This window comes from Homo sapiens, chromosome 14 (assembly GCF_000001405.40).
Source record: "Homo sapiens chromosome 14, GRCh38.p14 Primary Assembly".
In the NCBI taxonomy this organism is placed as follows: Eukaryota; Metazoa; Chordata; class Mammalia; order Primates; family Hominidae; genus Homo; species Homo sapiens.
In genome coordinates, this window is record NC_000014.9 from 49,142,127 (window position 1) to 49,159,681 (window position 17,555).

At 40.1% G+C, this 17,555-nt stretch overlaps 1 long non-coding RNA gene across 3 annotated transcripts in view; it reads right to left on the reverse strand.

The window, feature by feature from the left end:
* LOC105378178 (uncharacterized) overlaps window positions 1-17,555 on the reverse strand; it is an 894,025-nt gene that overhangs the window by 748,128 nt on the left and 128,342 nt on the right. For all 3 annotated transcript variants that reach the window (XR_007064152.1, XR_943837.3, XR_007064153.1), the window contains exons 2-3: window positions 14,294-14,337; window positions 9,704-9,811 (exon numbers count right to left, since the gene is read on the reverse strand). This is a non-coding gene — a long non-coding RNA (uncharacterized LOC105378178). The remainder of the gene's footprint in view (window positions 1-9,703; window positions 9,812-14,293; window positions 14,338-17,555) is intronic.

The following is a 17,555-nucleotide window of genomic DNA, read 5'->3' on the forward strand; positions in this document are numbered from 1 at the left end:
AAAGACCCTAACTTTGAGCATTCTCCTTGGTTGGCTGTGGGTTCAATGTGATTGTTGTGGCATTATCATTTTGATTCCGAAATTTACTCAAAAGTTTCATTAAGCCATTGTTTATGGATGTTGTAAATATAGTCATGTATTTCAGTCAATGACAACCAAAACAGAAACACACTCTCTTGCCTCCCTCCTTTGAGAAAGTTTCTACCCTTTCGTTAATCTATCAATGGAACCTATAGAATTCACGTTTTTAAAAAAAATCTACTTATTTCTTTTAAAATATGGATATAAGTTAACATTCTGTTTTCTTCTTTTAATACATATTTATGGAATAGTTCCAATTCATTATGAATTTTTATAACCTCATTATTACATTGCCAGTTGCTACAAATATATGCCAATTATCTCCTCCATGAAAACAAACGTGCTAGAGGCAGCTCATTATTATAGTTCAGCTCAAAGAAAAAAAAAAGGCCACTTCCTCTCTCTCACCCACCAATCAGAGCCACTTATAAAGTTGAAAGGGTAGGCCAGTCCTTCACACTTGTAGACTCAGAAATATGTTCATAAACTAGAGATAATGGTTTAATCATAACTACCATTTCTTAAGCAGTGTGATGGTTATTTGCCACGTCAAGTCAATTCACTGCCCTTCTAGGCCCTAGGAGGTTGACCTCTATGGACTGCATGATCCAATTTCTGAGCCCTTGGTTTCTGGTTCAGTTTGACAGAAGATCAGAAGGCAGGAAGAGAGACATAGGGGTTTCCTTCTCCATTCTATCCTCAGTAGAAAACTCTGGCAGTGGCTACTTTCCTCTAGGGCCAGAGCATTCCCCTACAGTCCAAAGTCTTACCAGGTTATGATAATAACATCCTCTTGTTGTTGGGCTCTGACTGCTTCACTTTGCCCCCTTTGCTTCCTTAACCCTGCTCACACCTTTGTACTTAGTCCCTTTATTAATGTCTATTCATTTAAACCATTTGTGGGAGGCATAATTCTAAGATGGTCTCAATATTCCTACCCCTTTGTTTGCACACTATCCAAGGAAGTCCTATGGTACTGCTTGCTGTAATTCACGTGGGATATTTCTACTGGGCAGAAAACACTCTAGGACACCTTGCAAACCTTTATATCTAGACTTTGGCTTGAGCCCCTACCATTCTTGTATTTTTGGCTAGGACAGCTAGGTCAGTTTCTCTCAACACACATGCCATATGCCATAGAAACTTATAGAAAAAGAGAGAAAAACAAAACAAGAACAAATGAATACCACATTGGGCTTCTCTCCTAAGGGTGGAGGCAGTATGTAATGGAGATTACAGAACACAGACTTTGGCATTCGAGATACACAGGTTTCAGTCAGGCTCTGTTCTTTGCTCTCCATATGACCTTGAGGAAGTGATTCTTACCCCTCTGTTTGCACACTTTATATAATCTTCTTCCCGTAAGTGTGAGTAAGACTGGCCCAATCAGTGAGGCCTTTAAAAAGAGAAAGTCTAGGAGTCCAAGATGAAACAAATCAGAGATATCCAAAACTATAGCAGACACTCTCCCGTCAGCCCTGAAAAAAGCAAACTGCCATATTGCGAAAAAGGCCACTAGGCAGGGATTGTTAGCAACATTGAGGAGCTAAAAACCGTAAGAAACCATAAAAAATTTTGTTGCTGACTGACGGCCAGGAACAAAATGGGACCTCAGTCCAACAAGCACAAGCCAAAGAAGCTTGGAAGAGGGTCCCAAGCTCCAGAGAAGATCACAGCCCTGCCCAACACCTTGATTTCAATTTTATGAGACCCAAAACAATCTATTTTTACACTATCTGTTTTTTGTGGTTTTTTTAGTTTTATTATTATTAAGTTTTAGGGTACATGTGCACAACGTGCAGGTTTGTTACATATGTATACATGCGCCATGTTGGTGTGCTGCACCCATTAACTCGTCATTTACATTAGGTATATCTCCTAATGCTATCCCTCCCCGCTCTCCCCACCCCACAACAGTCCCCAGAGTGTGATGTTCCCCTTCCAGTGTCCATGTGTTCTCATTGTTCAATTCCCACCTATGAGTGAGAACATGCGGTGTTTGGTTTTTTGTCCTTGCAATAGTTTGCTGAGAATGATGGTTTCCAGTTTCATCCATGTGCCTACAAAGGACATGAACTCATCATTTTTATGGCTGCATAGTATTCCATGGTGTATATGTGCCACATTTTCTTAATCCAGTCTATCGTTGCTGGACATTTGGGTTGGTACCAAGTCTTTCCTATTGTGAATAGTGCCACTATAAACATACGTGTGCATGTGTGTTTATAGCAGCATGATTTATAATCCTTTGAGTATATACCCGGTAATGGGATGGCTGGGTCAAATGGTATTTCTAGTTCTAGATCCCTGAGGAATCACCACACTGACTTCCACAATGGTTGAACTAGTTTACAGTTCCACCAACAGCGTAAAAGTGTTCCTGTTTCTCCACATCCTCTCCAGCACCTGTTGTTTCCTGACATTTTAATGATCACCATTCTAACTGGTATGAGATGCTTTCTCATTGTGGTTTTGATTTGTATTTCTCTGATGGCCAGTGATGATGAGCATTTTTTCATGTGTTTTTTGGCTGCATAAATGTCTTCTTTTGAGAAGTGTCTGTTCATATCCTTGGCCCACTTTTTGATGGGGTTGTTTGTTTCTTTCTTGTAAATTTGTTTGAGTTCAATGTAGATTCTGGATATTAACCCTTTGTCAGATGAGTAGGTTGCAAAAATTTTCTCCCATTCTGTAGGTTGCCTGTTCACTCTGATGGTAGTTTCTTTTGCTGTGCAGAAGCTCTTTAGTTTAATTAGATCCCATTTGTCAATTTTGACTTTTGTTCCCATTGCTTTTGGTGTTTTAGACATGAAGTCCTTGCCCATGCCTACGTCCTGAATGGTATTGCCTAGGTTTTCTTCTAGGGTTTTTATGGTTTTAGGTCTAACATGTAAGTCTTTAATCCATCTTGAATTCATTTTTGTATAAGGTGTAAGGAAGGGATCCAGTTTCAGCTTTCTACATATGGCTAGCCAGTTTTCCCAGCACCATTTATTAAATAGGGAATCCTTTCCCCATTCCTTCTTTTTGTCAGGTTTGTCAAAGATCAGATAGTTGTAGATAAGCAGCATTATTTCTGAGGGCTCTGTTCTGTTCCATTGATCTATATCTCTGTTTTGGTAGCAGTACCATGCTGTTTTGGGTACTGTAGCCTTGTAGTATAGTTTGAAGTCAGGTAGTGTGATGCCTCCGGCTTTATTCTTTTGGCTTAGGAATGACTTGGCGATGCGGGCTCTTTTTGGTTCCATATGAACTTTAAAGTAGTTTTTTCCAATTCTGTGAAGAAAGTCATTGGTAACTTGATGGGGATGGCACTGAATCTATAAATTACCTTGGGCAGTAGGGCCATTTTCACAATATTGATTCTTCCTACCCATGAGCATGGAATGTTCTTCCATTTGTTTGTATCCTCTTTTATTTCATTGAGCAGTGGTTTGTAGTTCTCCTTGAAGAGGTCCTTCACATCCCTTGTAAGTTGGATTCCTAGGTATTTTATTCTCTTTGAAGCAATTGTGAATGGGAGTTCACTCATGATTTGGCTCTCTGTTTGTCTGTTATCGGTGTATAAGAATGCTTGTGATTTTTGTACATTGATTTTGTGTCCTGAGACTTTGCTGAATTTGCTTATCAGCTTGAAGAGATTTTGGGCTGAGATGACGGGGTTTTCTAGATATAAAATCATGTCATCTGCAAACAGGGACAATTTGACTTCCTCTTTTCCTAATTGAATACCCTTTATTTCCTTCTCCTGCCTGATTGCCCTGGCCAGAACTTCCAACACTATGTTGAATAGGAGTGGTGAGAGAGGGCATCCCTGTCTTGTGCCCGTTTTCAAAGGGAATGCTTCCAATTTTTGCCCATTCAGTATGATATTGGCTGTGGCTTTGTCATAGATAGCTCTTATTATTTTGAGATATGTCCCATCAATACCTAATTTCTTGAGAGTCTTTAGCATGATGGTTTGTTGAATTTTGTCAAAGGCAAAATTTTCTGCATCTTTTGCACCTTTTCTGCATCTATTGAGATAATCATGTGGTTTTTGTCTTTGGTTCTATTTATATGCTGGATTACATTTATTGATTTGCGTATGTTGAACCAGCCTTGCATCCCAGGGATGCAGCCCACTTGCTCATGGTGGATAAGCTTTTTGATGTGCTGCTGGGTTCTGTTTGCCAATATTTTATTGAGGATTTTTGCATCGATGTTCATCAAGGATATTGGTCTAAAATTCTCTTTTTTGGTTGTGTCTCTGCCAGGCTTTGGAATCAGGATGATGCTGGCCTCATAAGATGAGTTAGGGAGGATTCTCTCTTTTTCTATTGATTGGGATAGTTTCAGAAGGAATGGTACTAGCTCCTCTTTGTACCTCTGGTAGAATTCGGCTGTGAATCCATCTGGTCCTGGACTTTTTTTGGTTGGTAAGCTATTGATTATTGCCTCAATTTCAGAGCCTGTTATTGGTCTATTCAGAGATTCAACTTCTTCCTGGTTTAGTCTTGGGAGGACGTATGTGTCCAGGAACTTATCCATTTCTTCTAGATTTTCTAGTTTATTTGTGTAGAGGTGTTTATAGTATTCTCTGATGGTAGTTTGTATTTCTGTGGGATCGGTGATGATATCCCCTTTATCATTTTTTATTGTGTCTGTTTGATTCTTCTCTCTTTTCTTCTTTATTAGTCTTGCTAGCGGTCTATCAATTTTGTTGATCTTTTCAAAAAACCAGCTCCTGGATTCGTTAATTTTTTGAAGGGTTTTTTGTGTCTCTATTTCCTTCAGTTCTGCTCTGATCTTAGTTATTTCTTGCCTTCTGCTAGCTTTTGAATGTGTTAGCTCTTGCTTTTCTAGTTCTTTTCATTGTGATGTTGGGGTGTCAATTTTAGATCTGTCCTGCTTTCTCTTGTGGGCATTTAGTGCTATAAATTTCCCTCTACACACTGCTTTGAATGTGTCCCAGAGATTCTGGTATGTTGTGTCTTTGTTCTCATTGGTTTCAAAGAACATCTTTATTTCTGCCTTCATTTCATTATGTACCCAGTAGTCATTCAGGAGCAGGTTGTTCAGTTTCCATGTAGTTGAGCAGTTTTGAGTGAGTTTCTTAATCCTGAGTTCTAGTTTGATTGCACTGTGGTCTGAGAGACAGTTTGTTATAATTTCTATTCTTTTACATTTGCTGAGGAGTGCTTTACTTCCAACTATGTGGTCAGTTTTGGAGTAGGTGTGGTGTGGTGCTGAAAAGAATGTATATTCTGTTGATTTGGGGTGGAGAGTTCTGTAGATGTCTATTAGGTCCACTTGGTGCAGAGCTGAGTTCAATTCCTGGGTATCCTTGTTAAATTTCTGTCTCATTGATCTGTCTAATGTTGACAGTGGGGTGTTAAAGTCTCCCGTTATTATTGTGTGGGAGTCTCAGTCTCTTTGTAGGTCACTAAGGACTTGCTTTATGAATCTGGGTGCTCCTGTATTGGGTGCACATATAGGATAGTTAGCTCGTCTTGTTGAATTGATCCCTTTACCATTATGTCATGGCCTTCTTTGTCTCTTTTGATCTTTGTTGGTTTAAAGTCTGTTTTATCAGAGACTAGAGTTGCAACCCCTGCCTTTTTTTGTTTTCCATTTGCTTGGTGGATTTTCCTCCATCCCTTTATTTTGATCCTATGTGTGTCTCTGCACATGAGATGGGTTTCCTGAATACAGCACACTGATGGGTCTTGACTCTTTATCCAATTTGCCAGTCTGTGTCTTTTAATTGGAGCATTTACCCATTTACATTTAAGGTTAATATTGTTATGTGTGAATTTGATCCTGTCATTATGATGTTAGCATGATGTTAGATGGTTATTTTACTCGTTAGTTGATGCAGTTTCTTCCAAGCCTTAATGGTCTTTACAATTTGGCATGTTTTTGCAGTGGCTGGTACCGATTGTTCCTTTCCATGTTTAGTGCTTCCTTCAGGAGCTCTTTTAGGGCAGGCCTGGTGGTGAGAAAATCTCTCAGCCTTTGCTTGTCTGTAAAGTATTTTATTTCTCCTTCACTTATGAAGCTTAATTTGGCTGGATATGAAATTCTGGGTTGAAAATTCTTTTCTTTAAGAACGTTGAATATTGGTCCCCACTCTCTTCTGGCTTGTAGAGTTTCTGCCAAGAGATCAGCCATTAGTCTGATGGGCTTCCCTTTGAGGGTAACCCGACCTTTCTCTCTGGCTGCCCTTAACATTTTTTCCTTCATTTCAACTTTGGTGAATCTGACAATTATGTGTCTTGGAGTTGCTCTTCTCGAGGAGTATCTTTGTGGCGTTCTCTGTATTTCCTGAATTTGAATGTTGGCCTGCCTTGCTAGATTGGGGAAGTTCTCCTGGATAATATCCTGCAGAGTGTTTTCCAACTTGGTTCCATTCTCCCCATCACTTTCAGGTACAGCGGGGTCAGATGTGGATTTGGTCTTTTCACATAGTCCCATATTTCTTGGAGGCTTTGTTCATTTTTTTTATTCTTTTTTCTCTAAACTTCTCTTCTCACTTCATTTCATTCATTTCATCTTCCATCACTGATACTCTTTCTTCCAGTTGATCACTTCAGCTCCTGAGGCTTCTGCATTCGTCACGTAGTTCTCGTGCCTTGGTTTTCAACTCCGTCAGGTGCTTTAAGGACTTCTCTGCATTGGTTATTCTAGTTATCCATTCGTCTAATTTTTTTTCAAAGCTTTTAACTTCTTTGCCATTGGTTCGAATTTCCTCCTGTAGCTCGGAGTAGTTTGATCGTCTGAAGACTTCTTCTCTCAACTCATCAAAGTCATTCTCTGTCCAGCTTTGTTCCATTGCTGGTGAGGAGCTGCATTCCTTTGGAGGAGGAGAGGCGCTCTGATTTTTAGAGTTTCCAGTTTTTCTGCTCTGTTTTTTTCCCATCTTTGTGGTTTCATCTACCTTTGGTCTTTGATGATGGTGACGTTCAGATGGGTTTTTGGTGTGGATGTCCTTTCTGTTTGTGAGTTTTCCTTCTAACAGACAGAACCCTCAGCTACAGGTCTGTTGGAGTTTCCTAGAGGTCCACTCCAGACCCTGTTTGCCTGGGTATCAGCAGCGGTGGCTGCAGAACAGCGGATATTGGTGAACCACAAATGCTGCTGCCTGATCGTTCCTCTGGAAGTTTTGTCTCAGAGTAGTACCCAGCCATGTGAAGAGTCAGTCCACCCCTACTGGGGGGTGCCTCCCAGTTAGGTTACTCGGGGGTCAGAGACCCATTGAGGAGGCAGTCTGCCCATTCTCAGATCTCAAGCTGCATGCTGGGAGAACCACTACTCTCTTCAAAGCTGTCAGAGAGGGACATTTAAGTCTGCAGAGGTTACTGCCGTCTTTTTGTTTGTCTGTGCCCTGCCCCCAGAGGTGGAGCCTACAGAGGCAAGCAGGCCTCCTTGAGCTGTGGTGGGCTCCACCCAGTTCGAGCTTCTCAGCTGCTTTGTTTACCTAATAAAACAACTAACTCGGTAATGGCAGGCACCCCTCTCCCAGCCTCGCTGCCGCCTTGCAGTTTGATCTCAGACTGCTGTGCTAGCAATCAGCAAGACTCGTGGGCATAGGACCCTCCGAGCCAGATGCGGGATATAATCTCCTGGTGTGCCGTTTTTTAAGCCCATTGGAAAAGTGCAGTATTAGAGTGGGAGTGACCCAATTTTCCAGGTGCCATCTGTCACCCCTTTCTTTGACTAGGAAAGGGAATTCCCTGACCCCTTGCATTTCCCGGGTGAGGCAATGCCTCACCCTGCTTCAGCTCACACAGGGTGCACTGCACCCACTGTCCTGCACCTACTGTCTGGCACTCCCCAGTGAGATGAACCCGGTACCTCAGTTGGAAATGCAGGAATCACCTGTCTTCTGCGTCGCTCACGCTGGTAGCTGTAGACCAGAGCTGTTCCTATTCGGCCATCTTGGCTCCTCTCCCCTATCTGTTGTTAAAGTTTGTTATGCAAATGACTATGGGTGAAGCTGCAGAAAGCATGTTTAACTGACTGAAGGAAACCAAATGTGTAAGAAATTTAGCATTTTGTGATTGCTTTTTTCTATACAAATAAGTTACCAGTTTATTAACTAGAAATGCTAATGCTTTCTTTGTAGAGTAATTTCATGTACTTAAAAGAAACCCATTCTTTTTCTTTTTCTCATTCCAGAATGGACTTAAAGTAGCTAACCTAGCTTTCCCTATATTCTATAGTTTAAACTTTTTGAAATATATCCACCCCTTAAAGTCTGTCTGCATTAGTGAGTTTGTATTGTCCTGAAAATTGATTTCTTAACTTTATTTGAATGAGTATGACTCTAAATATTAAAAAATCTTTGTCTTCCTTCAGCATCTCGATAACTTGCAAGTTGTACAGTTCTGGTTCAATATCCTTTTTCTTTCCTCCTATTCCTGTCACTGTTCCAAAATTAGGTGAATGGCTGGCTAACTCCTTTCATAAATCAAATAACATTCTTCCTGTGGTTTCAATGGAGTAAGTCAAGCTTCAGAAACTGGCACAGACACTTACAGTAGCACTGTTCCGGGGACCCCAAGGAATAAAAGATTTTATGAAATTGGTCTATATAAGTCACATCCCCACTCAGCATAATCACAAGCTCTGCTGCAGTTGCAAACAATGGAGTGTTTGAATTCTAAATCGGTCCTTCAATTATCAAACCTGTCACTCCTTCTCCTTGATGGTTTTTCTACCCCGCAAAATCCCAACTGCTATTGCTATTGCTGCAAAGTTCTCAAATTCTTACTCTCAGAATTTTTCCAGAGTATGAAAAGTTTTCATGAAGCAATGAATATTGATGAATGCCAAGATAAGGGAAAGCCTCTCTCTGCAGTATATTCAATTTCTCCCTCTCTCCTGGATCTTCTTCTAGAAATTCAAACATCCTTAAGTTGCTATAGTTTAAAAAAAATTCTTCCTTACACATATACAGATATTTATCTCATTTTCATTTTCCAGCCAAATTTCTGTTGTAATCCATATTGCTTTACCGCTTTCGTCTTAACCAATTAATTTTGCCTCCTTCCTCTATTGTTTTACTGAAACAATACTTGCTAAGGTTACCAATTATCTCCACAGTGCTAAATCCAAAGGATGTTTCTCAGACTTCATTTTATTTACACACTTCAAAACATTCTTGAAATTAATCTTCCTTTGGCCTGTGGATCACACTCTCCTGGTTTCCTTCCTCCTTCTCCAGCTGCTTCATCTTAAATTTATTTGTGGGCTCATTCTCGTCTACCAGCCATTAAATGTTGACAAAGAGAGAAGTCCCAAGACATTCTTGAGAATCATCTTTGGAATCTCCCTGCTCAAGTCTGATTAATTTTGCCTCCCAGTTTTCAAATCCATTACTTCTCCCCATCTCCATGATCACTACCTTTCATCCAAGTTATAATCATCTTTCCCTGTACTGCACAAACCTCCTGTCTGGCCTCCTCCTGCACCCCATCCCCTCTCTCTCTACTATGAGGCCAGAAATGTCCTTTAAATATGCAAATCTGACCGTGGCATCCTGCCCTTTTTACATAAGCTTTTCCATGGCTTACTATTTCTTTTAGGATAAAGACCTTTAAAAGACCTCCAAGTTCTTTAAACGATCTACGTATTTTACCTGCTGCCTGTTTATTTCATCATCCCCCATTTGTTCCTCCTTCTTTGCGTTCTTGTGGTTCCTTGAACAGTCAATATTCCTCCATGGTCTTAGCAACAGCTGTGTGCTCTAGAAAGAAAAGTTTACCTCTCAGTTAATTCAATAATCACTTCCTCAAAGAAGCTTTCTCTGACCCTGCAGTCTATGTCATATCCTTTGACTTGTGTCCTTTATAATTACCTACATTGTCAGCAACTACACTGACTACTGAAATTACATCAATTTGTGTGATCTTTTGATTATTTACTTAAAGACTGCCTCTCCTGCTAGACTGTAAGTTCCTTGAGAAAAGGAGCTGTGTCTATTTTGTTTATATTTGTAGGATCTGCTCTTAGTACAGATTCTGAAAGATGCCCTATAGAAAAGGTGCTCAATATCTTCCTGAAAAAGTAAAAGAAAAATATTAGAGCCATACATGGAAAATTGGTAAGGCTTGGCCCTACATCTCTGCTCCTCCCTTTTTAGAAAAACCATAAGAAATCATGTGAGAAGTTCAATAAAAATAAGAAACTATTCCTTCAGTTAGTCCCAAAAAGTGTTTTTTTCCCAAAGACATACCAGAGCTTTTGTGAAAGTTAATTAAAGGAATGAAATAGTAGGTTAAGATATCTATATATATTTCATAATGCCTCCAGGCCCTAAACATACTAATAAGCACTGCTATACCTAGAATCAGTCAACTAAGGCTTGTAACTCAGGCCCCTGTCCGTAGGACCCTGTTCTGACCTTCCGCCAGCTAAGCCTCTCCACACAGGCTGAAAAGGGGGTTAAGGCCAAGGGATAAGCCCAAACCTACCTAGAGCTGTGCCTCCACACTCCTAGACCTCACCCCAGATGCCCAAACAACCCTGAGCTGAAGCCTACATATGCATCTTCCTGGGTTCATTCTCCTGAGTGCAGACAGCAACACAAGTGACCACGTCCTTAGCTCTAACCCATGACCATGGTATGGGTATTTCAGGGTAGAGTGGAGGTGGTTGACAGAGTTTGGATTTGCCCACTGGAATGTCCACAGTCATAAACCAGAAGTCCCCTCCAGAACAGGACTGTGCTCAGGCTGGGAAGACAATGGGCTCAGGCATTAGACCAGGGGCTGCCATGTGTATTAAATAACGAAAGAGAAAACAGAATTAAAGTTATGCAAATGTTGAGGCAGACCCACTAATTAGGTGTCTATCCTTACAGGCGGATTGATTTCAGTCTCTCCCCATCTGCTCCAACCATTAGGCCAAAACATTCTTCACACTCCTCTCTCCCTTCTTCAGTATATAATTTATAGCCTGACTTTTTGCCTATTTTGCTGAATACAAACTTCTCTTGGGAAGTTCTAAAAGCCCTCTATTAGAACCCCAACCTCCACAGCCTGTAGGTATGCTGGGAACCCTCTCTTCCTATCCAGCCCATTTGCACATGCGCCCTGTCCTTCACCTCTGTGTTCTCTCCGGCTGTCATGTCTGTACCCTCTCAGTCTACCCAAAGAACCGTGCCCAGACTTCAGAACCTTGCTGACCTCCGTGATTTCCCAAAACACGCACTACATGTTCTTATCCCTGAACTTCTATAGCAGAGATGTCATAAAATTTTAATTAGGGCCAATCAGAAATCCAACTGTGTAGACCCTATCCGTTTTTGTAAAAATGGCAAAGGACTTATCTTATTGGCCATCCAGAAGTATGGCTCTAAACACAGTCTCAGAAAGGGTCAACTTTACTTAGACATGTGCCAATCTAGGCTTAACAGTATTAAACATTTTTTACCAAGTGAATGAGAACTCTGGCATTTAACAAACTGAGCTATCCTTTTACAAAAGTGTGACAGCCTGGCCAACATGGCAAAACCCCATCTCTACTAAAAATACAAAAAATTAGCTGGGCGTGGTGGCGGGTGCCTGTAATCCCAGCTACACGGGAGGCTGACACAGGAGACTAGCTTGAACCCGGGAGGCGGAGGTTGCAGTGAGTGGAGATCACGCCATTGCACTCCAGCCTGGGCGACGGATCGAGACTCTGTCTCAAGAAAAAAAATAAAAAATAAAATAAAAAATTTAAAAGTGTGATGTTTTCAGCCAAGACATACCTAAATTCCAACTCGCAATTTCCCTCACCCAGGGATGCCTCTGGGTTTCCCTTTCAGTAGTTTCACAAAAGTTTCTCTTTCCAGATACTTTCACAGAGTTTCACAGAGACAAACAAAAACATTGTCCAGGGATGTCCCAGAGCAAGGATTTTCAGGTGAGTTCTAAGACTGATATTCTCAACTCTGAAGCTTCAGGAATACTTCTGGATGAATATAGATTGTTTTCAAGTAATTCCGTTCTTTTTGAAACTAAGTATCCCTCCCCACCCTCTTCCACACCCATAAGGCTTTACTAAGCTTTTTTGAGCTTTACTAAAGCTCAAAAAAAAATCTGCTACTGCGTTAATCGAGGTATTTACAAAATTATGGTAGAATTTCAATACAGCCCATAATTGCAATCACCTACAAAGATGTGGGTAGCTGAAATACCCAGCTCTTAATAGACTTAGAAATAGAAAAAGGCAGACCATGAAAACATCTTTGGATTCTTGTTTTTTCTTAAAAAACAACACTAATAGACATAGATGCTCTTTTAATAAATGTTTCCAGATATGCTATTTCCTATATTTTTCAATGATAAATACATGTAGCAGGTCATTTACTGACAAGTGCACATAACAATTTATATTATAATGTCTAATAGGGAAAAATCTAATAACTCACAGAACCGTCAGGTGAAAAAAAAATACAGTTAAATCTCTTGCACAGTGGAAGTCTTCATTTTTTAAATTATTATTCATTCATCACTACTGATGTCATATTATGCACATCATAAGTTTCTGAACTTAGGCTTTTATGCTTTTCGTTGACTGAGTCATGGTCAAAAGAAGAAGTAATAAGCAAAGAAAAAATTTCCTAGAGAAATCTGCACACACAAAAAAATTCATATTTTCCATTTATTATGAGATAGGCAGATAACAGAATATTGAGAAGCTATTTATTTTTGGCACCGTATTTGATCAAAAGCTTCCTGTATTCCTTTTTAAAGCTAATCCTATTCACCAACAGGTGAAGAAAATTGACTTAATTTTGCTCTATTTCTACTCTGACAAGATATTTTACTCATTAAAGGGCCTTGTTGAGCTTCTAGTGTTTAGCGTTAGTGTTTAAAAAAAGTATACATACACACACACACACACACATATTCTGTGCTCTAGCCCAAATGGCTAGAAATTGTGAGCTATTGAGATCTTGCTGCTATTAAATGAATAAAAGGCTCTCCGCTGCCTAAGAGATTACATAGATATGAATATTATTTATGTGTATATACAGACACACACACATATATATCTATATGAGTTCAGTTTTTTATTTTCCTGTATATGAAATGTTTGAAAGATCTTATCAATTTCACAGCAATGAACATTTTCTTTTCTCAGGGAACTTCCTCTTCACACTGTTTCCTTTATTCCCAGTCTCTTAGGTGACTTTAAACAATGAAGAAGAAAAGACAGGCCACGGTGTCACGTCTTACTAAGTGTTTCAGGTATATGATTATGAGACAGGCCCCATCTCCACAAGAATCAAGCAAGATAAGGGGGGTTACATCATTTTAACAGTGTTTCAAATGGCTAGAGGAGAGGATTTTGAATATTCTCACCCCAAAGAAATGATTACTGTTTGAGGTGATAGTTATACTAATTACCCTAATTTGATCATTACACATTGTATACATGTATCAAAACATCAAACTGTATCCCACAGATATGTATAACTATTGTGTCAATTAAAAATAATTATTTGGGGTCAGGCGCAGTGGCTCACACCTGTAATCCCAGCACTTTGGGAGGCCGAGGCGGACAGATCATGAGGTCAGGAGACCAAGACCATCCTGGCTAACAGGGTGAAACTAAAAATACAAAAGATTAGCCGGGTGTGGTGGTGGGCGCCTGTAGTCCCAGCTACTTGGGAGGCTGAGGCAGGAGAATCGCTTGAACCCGGGAGGCGGAGGTTGCAGTGAGCCGAGATCACGCCACTGTACTCCAGCCTGGGTGACAGAGTGAGACTCCATCTCAAAAAAAAAAAAAATTTAAAAAGAGTATTTCACTGACTGTATTTCACACCAGAGAAACACATGTGTGTATTTGATACAAAACATACCTTGTCTTTTTGGACACTTCAGCCCTTGACATACCTTAAGTACCTCTAAGCACTGTTCTTATGCACTTCCCATTAGTAAATATCTCATTGAAAAACCTCTGCACAAATATTTTTTTTACCAAAAATACGAGAGACAATCTGCTGCAACAGAATATAAAAGAGCAAATAAGAAATGTCCCAGAATATAAAAGCAAGGCCAGAAAGTTTTTATTCTCTGAGGTAAGAAAAAAGCCACCCCCAAAATTATGTTTATTTAAACTAGATTTGAATGTTTCTCAAATTTAGTAAGGTGGTTCAAGTTGACGTCAGGATACCAACTAAACAACAACTTATGAAACAAGTCAATGAAGCATTATCTATCCACATGGATTTTACCTTGACATTATGAGATAGAGCTATGTCCAACATAAAGTGGGGACCTGCAGGAAGAGGAGGCAGAAGTAAGAATTTATCACAGTTTTAACAAATGCAAAGGACAGAGGATACTCTTTTAGTAGGCAGAAATATTCCTGGTATGAAGAGCAATCCATCCTATTGGCCCAGATCAATATAAATATGCCTCTGATTATTTGATCCCCTTGGTTTAGAATCATTCATCTGTTCATTCAACAGTTCTCCAATAAGTGTTGATTTTTTAATGAGCACTTCAGTACATGAGGGAGATACCAGGAATAAAATGCTCGAAGAGAGCTCAGTCTAGTAAGAGAAGTAGACTAGTACGCAGACAATTACTAATGAGTTTGATAACTCACTGTTCACTGAGTCACTTGATGTATATCCTGTCTCCAGGGGACCCACCAATGTGGTCTTGGTTCTTAAACCCGGTATAATTTCTACCACAAATTCATAAAGCAGTAGTCTTTTTACCAGTAAGTCTCTTGTGAATTTATTAGCATGACCCAGTCTCCCTGCAGGCAAAAACATCCAATTTAATTTCTGCCCATGCAAAGTAGGTGTCCAGGCCCCAAAACCATGAAGACTCCATCCCATGAGGCTCTTCCTGAGACAGCCAAATAATGTCTCTTGACAACTCTGGTTTTTGCAAAAAAAAACCATTTATTCACAACACTCAGCCCCGACATGACAGGGCTTCTATCACATGATAACATTTCCCTAAATCATTTCCATCACAGGTGTGCATGGGCTTTCAGCTTATTTTACATCAGTAATTCTCAAACTTTAGTGAGTTTAAGAATTCCCTGGGAAGAATAATGAAAATGCAGTTTCATAGGCCCCACACTGCACTCCACCCTGGGTGACAGAGACCCTGTATCAAAAAAAAAAAAAATTGTACCATGTGGTACATTTGCATAAATGTAATCTTATTGTCATTTTATTGTTGTACCCACTGTGGATGTTAGAAATGACACAATATGATTGATGATTTTTATTTTTATTTTATTAATTTTATTTTTTCATAAGTTATTGGGGTACAGGTGGTATTTAGTTACATGAGTAAATTCTTTAGTGGAGATTTGTGAGAACCTGGTGCACCCATCACCCAAGCAGTATGCACTGCACCATATTTGTTGTCTTTTATCCCTCGCGCCCTCCCACTCTTCGCCACACTGTTTTCCATAGTGGCTGTACTAGTTTACATTCCAATCAGCAGTGCAGAAGTAGCGGGGGTCTGTCCTGCAGACCCCAGGTGCATGACGGATGAGACACGTACTCAGACACCGATATTCAGTGGAAGAGTGGGCTGGGGGCTGCTGGCACTAGGGGCCAAAGAGAGTTTGCAGCCCCTTCCAAGCTGGCAACGCTTCCATTTATTTAGTACAGATTTAATTGACAAGGACTTTGAGTCAACACACTTGTGGTCATCCCCACCCTGAAGAGGGCCATCTTGCCCACAAATGATCAAAGGTTGATTTTAGGACCACATGAGTAAACAAGCTATTTAGATAAACTACTCTACATTCCTTTGTATCTGTGCCCCAAGCTGTTAGCTCAAGGTAAGGATTAGGCTGCTTTCAGCCATAACCCTAGCCTGAGACATTTGCAAAACCTTCCGGCCTTCCAAGGTTTGTGTTTACATCCTATAACTTCATCTTAAAATTTTTCCCACCAGCCTGACTGAACTCCCACAAGAAGTGTTCCCAGATCACCACATCCACGCCAACATCTACTGTTTTTTGTTTTTTTGATTATGGCCATTCTTTCAGGAGTAAGGTGGTATTGCATCGTGGTTTTGATTTACGTTTCCCTGATCATTAGTGATGTTGTGCATTTTTTCATACGTTTGTTGGCCATTTGTGTATCTTCTTTTGAGAATTGTCTATTCATGTCCTTAGCCCACTTTTTGATGGGATTGATTGTTTCTTTCTTACTGATTTATTTGAGTTCATTGTAGATTCTGGATATTAGTCCTTTGTCAGATGTATAGATTATGAAGATTTTCTCCCACTCTGTGGATTGTCTGTTTACTCTTGCTGACTGTTCCTTTTGCCGTGCAAAAGCTCTTTAGTTTAATTAGGTCACAGCTATTTATCTTCGTTTTTATTGCAATTGCTTTTGGGTTTTCGGTCATAAAATCCTTGCCTAAGCCAACGTATAGAAAGGGTTTTTTCAATGTTATCTTCTAGAATGTTTATAGTTTCAGGTCTTAGGTTCAAGTCTTTAATCCATCTTGAGTTGATTTTTGTAACAATTCTACCATTAATATGGAACCAAAAAAGAGCCCACATAGCAAAAGCAAGACTAAGCAAAAAGAACAAATCTCAAGGCATCACACTACCTGATTTCAAACTATACTATAAGGCCATAGTCACCAAAACAGCAAGGAACTGATATAAAAATAGGCACATAGACCAATGGAACAGAATAGAGAACCCAGAAATAAACCCAAATACTTACAGCCAACTGATCTTCAACAAAGCAAACAAAAACATAAAGTGGGGAAAGGACTCCCTTTTCAACAAATGGTGCTGGGAAAACTGGCAGGCCATATGTAGGAGAATGAAACTGGATCCTCATCTCTCACCTTATACAAAAATCAACTCAAGATGGATGATTTTTAAATCCACAAGAAGGCTGGACACAACAGAAGTGAATCCTCCCCCTCCAATGCTGGGAAAGAATGCATTCCAATGATCTCCTTGCTAATGCTTTCCTCCTGCCAAACTAAATTTACCTTATTCACATCAGTTATGCACTTGGTCTTGATATGAGCAAGGTTAAAAAACCACAAAAAGATCATGTGACTAGAGGAAGTAGTGGGACATAAAAAGCCCAGGCCTGCAAATTCTTGATACCAGTACTCTTAGGAGAAATTACAGGAAACCTCAGTGTCTCTGGGTAAGACATGTGAATATAACCAAATGTTGAGGGGGAACTTAACCTGTTACCTCAGAAATGGTGGCTTGAAGACAAAACTGATGACAGTGACATCAAATACTCCACATTCTAAAGAAAGCTGTAGAAAACTGATGGCCAGATACCCCCTCCATTGATTACTAAGAGAAGCCAAATCAGTCCTGTGACCCCACCATCACCACATTGACCTAGCCAATCTCCAGGCCCTTTCAACCTCCTAACCTCAGAAGCAACAGACTAAGGAGAAGAGAAGGGGTGAACAGTATGTGTTATGTAGTGAGAGAGGGCTCCTGCTTTCAAGCAATCCACTTGTTAGTTGACT